Source organism: Homo sapiens, chromosome 10 (assembly GCF_000001405.40).
Source record: "Homo sapiens chromosome 10, GRCh38.p14 Primary Assembly".
Lineage (NCBI taxonomy): Eukaryota > Metazoa > Chordata > Mammalia > Primates > Hominidae > Homo > Homo sapiens.
Window position 1 is genome coordinate 748,737 of NC_000010.11, and position 11,957 is coordinate 760,693.

The 11,957-nt window shown below is 43.3% G+C and overlaps 1 annotated feature.

Moving 5' to 3' along the window:
* Window positions 11,195-11,694: an enhancer, noted in NCBI's record as "H3K4me1 hESC enhancer chr10:805871-806370 (GRCh37/hg19 assembly coordinates)". NCBI's record gives its function as "activates a minimal SCP1, AML or CMV promoter by ChIP-STARR-seq in primed H9 embryonic stem cells {active_cell/tissue: H9 hESC(primed)}" and the evidence as "EXISTENCE:reporter gene assay evidence [ECO:0000049][PMID:30033119]".

Below are 11,957 nucleotides of genomic sequence, written 5' to 3' on the forward strand. Positions count from 1 at the left end.
CTGGTACCAAAACAGAGATATAGATCAATGGAACAGAACAGAGCCATCAGAAATAACGCCGCATATCTACAACTATCTGATCTTTGACAAACCTGAGAAAAACAAGCAATGGGGAAAGGATTCCCTTTTAATAAATGGTGCTGGGAAAACTGGCTAGCCATATGTAGAAAGCTGAAACTGGATCCCTTCCTTACACCTTATACAAAAATCAATTCAAGATGGATTAAAGACTTAAACGTTAGACCTAAAACCATAAAAACCCTAGAAAAAAACCTAGGCATTACCATTCAGGACATAGGCATGGGCAAGGACTTCATGTCTAAAACACCAAAAGCAATGGCAACAAAAGCCAAAATTGACAAATGGGATCTAATTAAACTCAAGAGCTTCTGCACAGCAGAAGAAACTACCATCAGAGTGAACAGGCAACCTACAAAATAGGAGAAAATTTTCACAACCTACTCATCTGACAAAGGGCTAATATCCAGAATCTACAATGAACTCAAACCAATTTACAAGAAAAAAACAAACAACCCCATCAAAAAGTGGGCGAAGGACATGAACAGACACTTCTCAAAAGAAGACATTTATGCAGCCAAAAAACACATGAAAAAATGCTCACCATCACTGGCCATCAGAGAAATGCAAATCAAAACCACAATGAGATACCATCTCACACCAGTTAGAATGGCAATCATTAAAAAGTCAGGAAACAACAGGTGCTGGAGAGGATGTGGAGAAGTAGGAACACTTTTACACTGTTGGTGGGACTGTAAACTAGTTCAACCATTGTGGAAGTCAGTGTGGTGATTCCTCAGGGATCTAGAACTAGAAATACCATTTGACCCAGCCATCCCATTAGTGGGTATATACCCAAAGGACTATAAATCATGCTGCTATAAAGACACATGCACACGTATGTTTACTGCAGCACTATTCACAATAGCAAAGACTTGGAACCAACCCAAATGTCCATGAGTGATAGACTGGATTAAGAAAATGTGGCACATATACACCATGGAATACTATGCAGCCATAAAAAATGATGAGTACATGTCCTTTGTAGGGACATGGATGAAATTGGAAATCATCATTCTCAGTAAACTATCGCAAGAACAAAAAACCAAACACCACATATTCTCACTCATAGGTGGGAATTGAACAATGAGATCACATGGACACAGGAAAGGGAACATCACACTCTGGGGACTGTTGTGGGGTGGGGGGAGGGGGAAGGGATAGCATTGGGAGATATACCTAATGCTAGATGATGAGTTAGTGGGTGCAGCACACCAGCATGGCACATGTATACATATGTAACTAACCTGCACAATGTGCACATGTACCCTAAAACTTAAAGTATAATAATAAAAAATAAATAAATAAATAAAAGAAAAAAGAAAAAAGAAAAAAAAAAGAAGCATTTGAAGAAATGATGGCTGAAAAATTCCATTTGACAAAAATCTAAATCTCAGTGTCTTCTGAGGTTTAGAAAGTGCAGTGAACTCAAAATATGATAAGCCTAAAGAAATGTACACTCAGACACATCATAACTAAACAGCTGAAAACAAAGACAAAAAATTTGAAAGCAACCAGGGTAAAATGACGTATTACTTATAGGGTAACAAGCTTTCAAATGACAGTCCATTTATCCTCAGAAACCATGGAAGCCAGAAGGAAATGGAACATTTTTAATGTGCTGAAGAAAAGGGTTGTCATCCTAGAATTCTATATCCAGTGAAAAATATCTGTCAAAAATGAAGATGAAATAAAGACATTCTCAGATGAAGCAAAACTGAGAGAATTCATTGCCCACAAACCTGTTCCTGAAGAAGTGATAATGGGAGTTCCTGAAGCAGAAGGAAATAACATTAGAAAGAATCTGGACCATCACCAGCCGGGCGTGGTGGCTCACGCCTGTAATCCCAGCACTTTAGGAGGCCGAGAGGGCGGATCATGAGGTCAGGAGATTGAGACCATCCTGGCTAACATGGTGAAACCCTACCTCTACTAATAATACAAAAAATTAGCCGGGTGTAGTGGCGGGCGCCTGTAGCCCCCACTGTTTGGGAGGCTGAGGCAGGAGAATGGTGTGAACCCAGGAGGCGGAGCTTGCAGTGAGTTGAGATCGCGCCACTGCACTCCAGCCTGGGAGACAGGGCGAAACTCCGTCTCAAAAAGATAATAATAATAAGAAAGCATTTGGACCTTCTGGGTAAATATAATACAGTTGTCCCATTTACCTGCAGGGGATACATTCCAAGACCCCCAGTGGATGTCGGGAACCATGGATGACACTGAACCTGATTGCCGACCGTGGGAACACAATTTTGTTCGTGTCTTCTATCTACAAATGTAATGCCTTTTCCATCTTAGCTAAGCACTTACTGGCTCACTGCAGTAACCCGCCTCCTGGGTTCAAGTGATTCTCCTGCCTCAGCCTCCTGAGTTGCTGGGACTACAGGTGTGTGCCACCATGCCAGGCTAATTTTTGTATTTTTTAGTAGAGATGGGGTTTCGCCATGTTGAACTGGTCAGGTTGGTCTTGAACTCCTGACCTCAAATGATCTGCCTGCCTTGGCCTCCCAAAGTGCTGGGACTACAGGCCTGAACCACCGCGCCCAGCCTCGCTGTAACTTTTGCAGTTTGAAGTGCAACAGCAAAACTAATACGAATTTCTTTTTTCATCTTCATAATTTAATGAGTAGAAGATTTGTTCTTACCATAAGATCTTAGGAATCTCAGCATATAACTTTTTTCTTGCCTTGTTAAGTAAAAAATGTTTACTTTTTCACCGAAAGGAAGCATTTTACTGCTTCTCTTTGGTATGTCCATCTGAATTGCCACCATCACTGCTCTTGTGCTTTGGGGCTGTGATTAAGTAAAATGAGGGTCACTGGAACACAAGCCCTGGGATACTGCAACGGTTGATCTGATAACCAAGATGGCAGCTGAGGGACTAACAGGTGGGTAGCATATACAGCACGGATACGCTGGACAAAAGGACGATTCACATCCCAGGTAGGATGAAGAACAATGGTGTGCATGCCTCAGAAAGGCATGCGATTTAAAGCTTACGAATTCTTTATTTCTAAAATTTTCCATTTAATATTTTGGACCATGGTTGACCTCAGATAACTAAAACCACAGAAAGCAAAAACCTGGATGAGGAAAAACCTGGATGAGAAGGCTACTGTAAACGAGTCTTCTCTTGTGTTCTCTAAGATGTCTGGCCTGGATAAGAGGGGTTACTGTAAACTAGTCTTCTCTTGCCTTCTCTAAGACGTCTGGCCTGGATGAGAGGGCTACTGTAAACTAGTCTTCTCCTGTGCTCTCTAAAATGTCTGGCCTGGATGAGAGGGTTACTGTAAAGTAGTCTTCTCCTGTGTTCTCTAAGATGTCTGGCCTGGATGAGGGGTTACTGTAAACTAGTCTTCTCCTGTGTTCTCTAAAATGTCTGGCCTGGATAAGAGGGCTACCGTAAACTAGTCTTCTCCTATGTTCTCTAATATGTTTGGCCTGGATGAGAGGGTTACTGTAAACTAGTCTTCTCTTGCATTCTCTAAGATGTTTGGCCTGGATGAGAGGGCTACTGTAAACTAGTCTTCTCCTATGTTCTCTAACATGTTTGGCCTGGATGAGAGGGTTACTGTAAACTAGTCTTCTCTTGCGTTCTCTAAGATGTTTGGCCTGGATGAGAGGGTTACTGTAAACTAGTCTTCTCCTGTGTTCTCTAAAATGTCTGGCCTGGATGAGAGGGTTACTGTAAACTAGTCTTCTCTTGCGTTCTCTAAGACGTTTGGCCTGGATGAGAGGGTTACTGTAAACTAGTCTTCTCTTGTGTTCTCTAAGATGTTTGACCTGGATGAGAGGGGCTACTGTAAACTAGTCTTCTCTTGCATTCTCTAAAATGTTTGGCAGTTGAAAGCAAAAATTACAGCATTGTCTGATTTGTTTTTTCAAGGTATGTAGATGTAACATACAAGATAAATATAACATAAAGGAGAAGGAGTGAAGTGCCGTATGTAGTAATGAACTTTCTGCATTCCATTTAAAGTGTTAAAATGGTGATTTTAACTTGACTGTGAAAAGCTAAATGTGCACATTCTAGTTCCCAGAGCAGTCCTTAAAAAACTGTACAAGGAGGTGGAGTTTAAGAATCACAATAAATTAAAATGGAATATTTAAAGTGTTCAAATAATAAGAAAGATGAAAAGGGGAAACAGGTGAATAGAGAATAGGGAACAGCAGAAAACGACGAATGAAATCATGGTCTTAAATCCAAATGTACCAATAATTACACTAAATGTAAATCATCTAAGTACACCAATGAAAAGAGGGATTGTCAGAATACCTAAAAATGACCTAATCATATTCTACCTACAATAAATTGACTTTGAATGTAGTGATATAGGCAGTTAAAAGGTAAAAGGATAGAAAAAGATACACCATGCAAATTCTAACCAAAAGAAAGCCTGGAAGTGTCATCAGCAAGGTGGTGGATAGGCAGCTCCAGGCACTTGCTGCCCCAAGGGAGCCCTGGAAAGCCAGGAAAAAGTGTAAGAACCAACGCTAGGAACTCGGACTCAGGCTGCACTCCTTTATCACCAGCTTTCCTGGTTCTCTGACTTGCAAATGGTGGACTTCTCAGCCTCCATGTTCACAGGAGCCAATTCCCATAATAAATCTCTCTCTATAGATGTAGATTTAGATATGGATAGCTATCCTCCTGGTTATGTTTCCCAGGATAACCCTAATACACATAAAAAGGATGGAAATTCTGACACACACTACAACATGGATGAAACTTGAAGACATTGTGCTAACCGAAATAAACCAGACAAAAAAGACAAAAAGACAAATACTGTATGATTCCACTTAGAAGAGGCACCTAAAGTAGTCGAAGTAATAGGTTCAGAAAGCAGAATGGCGTAACTAGGAGCTGGGGACAGAGAGGAATGGGAAGTTACTGTTTGATAGGTACAGAGTTTCAGTTTTACAAGATGACAAGAGCTGTGGAGATGAATATTGGTGGTGGTTGCAAAACAACGGATGTATTTAAAGCCACAAAACTGTGGTTAACATGGTAAATTTTATGTTATATGTATTTCGCCACAGTTTTTTTAATTAAAAATAAATATTTATAGTCTCAGCATCTTCAAATATCCCGCAAATATTTCCAAGTTTCATCCTCGATTTCTTATCCTACCTGAGTCAAACATCTTCACCTTCCCAAGATTTTTTATATCAAGTGCTAATAAGAGGCCCCTAATCTCTGGCATGCACTTGATTTTTTTGGAGCCAGGCTGAATAATAGTATATAAGACTCATTGAATCAAGGAATATGGGGTTTGCAATTTTCTGTTCCCAGGCTATCTGTGCAAAACTCAGCAAAATTAGTAATGAATGAAGTAATGTTAAAAAGCAATCTCTTTAAAAGTCCGAAGCAAGACAAAGATGCCTAGTAGGCAGGCTCCTATTCAGCATTGTTGAGACCCTTATCATTGCACTGAAACAAGAAAAAGCCATACAAAGTGTAATTCTGTGAAGGAAAAGACAAAACTGTCATGTATAGCTGTTATGGTAGTTTCATAAAGATTCTCCAAAATACATAGACAAACGGTCAAAATTATTTAAAATTGTCATATTTGCTAGGTATAAAACAAATATGCAAAATTCAATTGCATGTCTATATACTAACAATAAATAGAAAATGTAATTTGTTTAAAATGTCATTTATAAAGGAAACAATAAAATGAAGAGACAACCTACAAATGAGGATAGAATATTTACAAACCATATATCTGATAAGGGCTTAATACTCAAAAATATAACGAACTCAAACAACTCAATACCAAAAAAACAAATAACCTGATTTTAAAATAGGCCAACGACATTAACAGACATTTCTCAAAAGAAGACACACAAGGCCAGGCACAGTGGCTCATGCCTGTAATCCCAGCACTTTGGGAGGCCAAGGTGGGTGTATTACTTGAGCTCAGGAGTTCAAGACCAGCCTGGCCAACATCACGAAACCCTGTCTCTACTAAAAATACAAAAATTAGCCAAGTGTTGTGGTGCATCTGTAATCCCAGCTATTTGGGAGGCTGAGGCAGGAGAATCACTTGAACCCAGGAGGTGGAGGTTGTAGTGAGCTGAGATTGCACCACTGCACTCCAACATGGGTGACAGAGCAAGACTCTGTCTCGAAAAAAAAAAAAAGACATACAAATGGCCAATGGAATATTTTTAAATGCTCAACATTTCTAGTCATCAGGGAAATAAATTAAAACCACAATAAGGTATCACCTCACACTTATTTGAATGGCTATTATTTTAAAAAGATGAATGATAACAAGTGTTGGTGAGGATGTGTAGCAAGGGAAACCTTGTACACTGTTGGTGGGACTGTAAATTAGTACAGCCTCTATGGAGAAGAGAATGGAGGTTCCTCAAAAAACTGAAAATAGAACTACCATGCAATCCAGCAATCCCACCTTTAGGTATACAGTCGACCCTCGACGTATGATGGCATCACTGGGACAGAGCCCCAATAATACTGAATGTGCATCACTTCTGCACCATCGTCATGTTGAAAGATTGTAAGTCAAACCATTACAAGTCAGGAGCCATCTGTAGAGCCACAGGAATTAAAATCAGCACGTCAAAGAGACGTCTGCACTCCCAGGTTCATCCGCAGCACCATTCACAGTAGCTGAAATGCGGAAGCAACCTCAGCACCCATCGACGGATGAAGGATAAAGAGAACGTTGTGCATATGCAAAATGGAATACTATTCAGCCTTAAAAAAGAAGGAAATTCTGTTGTTCTCAAAAACACAGATGAATCTGGAAGACATTATGCTACTTTGAATAGGTCAGGCACAGAAACACAAATACTGCATGATCTCACTTACGTGTGGAATCTTCAAAAGTCAATCCCACAGAGAAACAGAGAGTGGAATGGTGGTTACCAGAGGCTGAGGGGTGAAGTAGGGAAGGAGAAGGATGGGGAAAAGGGAAATGCTGATCAAAGGGTACAACATTTCAGTGAGGCAGGAGGAATGAGTTTTAGTGATCCACTGCACTGCACGGTGACCACAGTTAATAATAATGTATGCTTCGAAATTGCTAAAAGAATAGGCTTTAAGCATTCTCACAGTAAAAAAGAATGATGAGTTGGTGAGGTGGTGGATATGTTAATTAGCTTGATTGAGTCTTTCTACAATGTATACATAGATCAAACCATCACACTATACCCCATAAATGTACACAATTATTATCTGTCAATTAAAAATAGATAAATAAATAAGTCTGGGAATGGTGGCTCACACCTATAATTGCAGCATTTTGGCAGTTCCAAGTGCGAGGACTATTTGAGGTCAGGAGTTCGAAATCAGCCTGGGCAACATAGTGAGACGCTGTCTCAATAATAATAATAAGCTGGGTGTGGTGGTGCACACCTGTAGTTCTAGCTACTTGGGAGGCTGAGGTGGGAGGATCACTGGAGCCCATGAGCTTGAGAGTTCAAGGCTGCAGTGAGCTATTATCATGCCACTGCACTCCAGTCTGGATGACGGAGCAACAATCTGTCTTCAAAACTAAATACACGAGCAAATTGAAAATACATTAAAAACGTGAAGACGAAAGTTTTAGAGAAAAACAGATACACCTCAAAAATATCTTGCTTTTGTGTTTTTTACCTAATTTGAAAGTAAAGGCATTGCAAATGTGCACTGTGGTAACTGCCAGGGCACAAGCAACTGTCACTTCTGGCAATCGACTTCCTATACCGTAACATCAAACAAAATTTTGATACTAAAATTTTAATAACAAAATTGAAATATTTTGCATAAAATAAAAATTCTAATAAAATTTAATATTTATTCTTGTGTTTCAGACATTTATTTAGTTTTCTGATATTCAGCCTCGGTCACAGCTTTGGCCAAACATCTCTTTAGCCCCCTGGCCATTTGGTATTTAGCAAAAAATGAAAAAGACTGTGGAGATGTACCTCTGGCAACTCTGTATATATCTAACAAATTATTTGCAAGACCAGTACAGAGAAAATTTTGAAACTTTCTGAAGACCACTAAAGGATACTCTAAAATAGATAAATACGTTCATGGCTAGGAAGATTGAAGATCGCAAACATGCTGCTTTCTCCCAAATTGATATATGGGTTGAGAGTGATTTCAATCAAAATCACAAAAGGGATTTTGTGGAATTGGATGAATTCTAAAATTCCCGTTGAAAGGCAAAGAACCAAAAGTAGCTAAGACACTCCTGAAGGGGTGTGTGGTGGGGACCTGCCCAATATCTAGAGTGCGGCGGGGACGTGCCCAATTCTAGAGTGCGGCGGGGACCTGCCCAATATCTGGAGTGTGGCGGGGACCTGCCCAATATCTGGAGTGTGGCGGGGACCTGCCCAATATCTGGAGTGTGGCGGGGACCTGCCCAATATCTGGAGTGTGGCGGGGACCTGCCCAATATCTGGAGTGTGGCGGGGACCTGCCCAATATCTGGAGTGTGGCGGGGACCTGCCCAATATCTGGAGTGTGGCGGGGACCTGCCCAATATCTGGAGTGTGGCGGGGACCTGCCCAATATCTGGAGTGTGGCGGGGACCTGCCCAATATCTGGAGTGTGGCGGGGACCTGCCCAATATCTGGAGTGTGGCGGGGACCTGCCCAATATCTGGAGTGTGGCGGGGACCTGCCCAATATCTGGAGTGTGGCGGGGACCTGCCCAATATCTGGAGTGTGGCGGGGACCTGCCCAATATCTGGAGTGTGGCGGGGACCTGCCCAATATCTGGAGTGTGGTGGGGACCTGCCCAATATCTGGAGTGTGGTGGGGACCTGCCCAATATCTGGAGTGTGGTGGGGACCTGCCCAATATCTAGATTTGTCAAGTTATAAGGACCAACTAGTGTGGTGTTGGCTCAGGATAGACCAAGGGGACAGAAAGAGCCCAGGAATAGACCCAAACATATTTGTAAATTTAAATGTTTGTGATTTATACATATAAATATCTGATGAATAGGACACAAAATGTGAAATCATCTGAGTAATAAAAAATACAGAAATGTAATTGGCATATTAAAGAATACAGCCGCCGGCTGGGTGCGGTGGCTCACGCCTGTAGTCCCAGCACTTTGGGAGGCCGAGGCGGGCGGATCATGAGGTCAGGAGATCAAGACCATCCTGGCCAACATGGTGAAACCCTGTCTGTACTAAAAATACAAAAAATTAGCTGGGCGTGGTGGTGGGTGCCTATAGTCCCAGATACTCAGGAGGCTGAGGCAGGAGAATGGTGTGAACCCGGCAGGTGGAGCTTGCAGTGAGCCCAGATCGCTCCACTGCACTCCAGCCTGGGCAACAGAGCGAGACACCGTCTCAAAAGAAAAAAAAAAAAAAAAAAAAAAAAAAAAAAAAAAAAAAAAAAAAAAAGGATACAGCCTCCTAAAAGAGAAGACTTCTCAATATTAGCCATTTACCTTATTTCACCTCTCACATAATGGGGATTTGTTTCCCCCTCCGTGACTACCATCCCACAAGTAAAATTCTCCCTTTCATACCTCTGAGAGTCCTAGTAACTGCCTGTTACCAAAACATTGCACCACGCAGGATGGGTGATCTCCTGCTTTGCATTTTGAGTGAACACATTGTTAGCAGCATTCTGAATTTGTGTTGCCGACCTTTGCCGCGGGATATTGGCAGGTTTTACAGCTCAAGCCAGGCAAAACAGTCCTTTCTAAAACAAGAGAAAAACTGACCAGCGTATCAGTCAAAGCTTTCAATAGCTGAAAAGTTAATTAAAAGGTGACATTTGTGAGAGTCTAGAGTTAATTGTTTTGGTCTGTGACTCTTTTTTTTTTTTTAAACTCTTCCCACTCTGGCATCCACTTGATGCATCTTTGGCTAATCGCAGCCAGTCAGGTGTCCACCTGCACGTTGCTGTTGCCCTCCAGACAGCCACGCATTCCTCTGTCTTCTCCCAGTGAGATCCTGAACTCCTCAAGCACGCAGACCATGGCCTCTATCTCCTTTGTGTACACTGCAATGTCTGGCATGGTTGAGGAGTGGAATTGACTCTACAGAGAAGTTTTGCAAAATAATTAGGGTAAGAAAGACAGAAGTGGGGAGGATGGTAGATGAAGGGGTTCATGAGTAAAGAGCTGAGAGAGATGGTCTCAGACTTTAGTGATGTGGAAACTGAAAAAAGGAAAATCAGATTGTAAAATAGTATGTACAATATCATCTTATTTTTATTAAAAAAAAAAGGTACTGGGGAGAGGGGCTCCAAGAGGGCTAACTAGAGGCATTAGTTATTTGCCTCCTTCACTAAGAAGAAGCAAAATAGTAACTCATCACATTCTGAGTAGATTGTCCAAGAGGGAACACTGGAATTCATCAGAAAAGTGGCAGGACACTCCTAAAGCAAGGAAGAGAGGGGAGCAAGGCTGCTGCTGCCCCAGGACTGTGGGGGCTGGGACAGACCCCCTAGTGCAGGGAAAGGTGAAGGAGGGACCTTCAGCAGCCTACATTCCCACCGTGGACTCCTGCAGTCTCCGCCAGGAGAGCCCCCTTGACCACCCAGGTCCTGACCTGACAGGGCGCTGCCAGGAGATTGTGCGATGGCACTGCCCGAGGGAGGGAGTCTCAGGGGTCCCACACACTCCCTGAGACCTAAGCAGCTACAGCAAGGTGCTGCGCTGGAGTCCCACCCCCAGTGGACTGAAGCAGTGTCCTGGGGCTCAGTGGCGCCAGGCTGAGGCATGAGCGAGGCGCGGGCTGCCACAGCTTGGACTGAGGTGCAGGTGCTGCCAGGACTGAGGTGTACATGGCACGTGCATTCTCCACCCACCTGCCTAAGCTTCCACCAGTGAAGGGGGTCCTACTCTCCCCAGTGGAAGGCAACAGCATGGTCGCCACTGCCCCCAAACCAAGCATTCCGTGGGGGGTGCTGGGGATGACCCTGCCCCAGACTACCGTAGCTGCCGCCTGCACACATCACTGGGGGGCCTGAGCACAAGCCTGCCTGGCCGTCTGTGCCCTCACCCCATGCCAGAGCATGAAGTCTGGGTGCCAGGCAATTGCCCATCCCAGTCCATCACTGTCAGCACCTAAATACTTCTCCTGGGGTCTTGAGGTTGGGCCCACCCACCCTGCTGCTACTACCACAGCTGGTGCCTACCTGCCTGTACCACCTGCGGGCCTAGACACTGGCCTGCCCAGCCCATTGCAGCCACCACCAGCACCAGCATGCACTGCTTGGGACCCAGAGGGCCGTCCTGCCACTGTCATCACCCATGCCATGCTGGCTGACCAGGGGCCCAAGAACCACCCACTTACCTGGTCCACCACCACCACTACTGGCATCCAAATAAGCTACCTGGAAGCCCCAAATTGCCCACCAGGACCTGCTACCACCAGTGCCAGGATACGCCCCCTTGGGTCCCAAGGACAGGCATGGTCAGTCCCCCACTGCCACCACTGGGGCCTGAAGACTGGCCCCACCTGGGATTCCAGTCCCCAGCAAAGCCTCACCACAGCCTCCACTAATAACCACACCCTAAGCCACAAAGGAAATCACAGACACCACCGATGTTGTTTACAACTAAAGAGGAAATATGGAGACGACACTACTGCATGCACCCAGAATCAAAGCCAAAGGGCCCTATCCAATCAGCACCATAGATACATTTTCAGGAAAAATCCTCCCCTATGAAACCACACTCAACGAATGGGAAGAAGTGACTATTAGAGCAGATTTGCAGATATCAACATAAGGAAATGTGAAACAGAATAAAGGAAGGAAATATGACACCTCCAAAGGAACATCATAATTCTCCAGCAATAGACCCCAACAAAAAACAAACTTACAAAATCCTGGAAAAAGAATTTAAAATATAGATTTTTAAAGTGGCTCAGTGGGATACAAGAGAAAAATAAAAA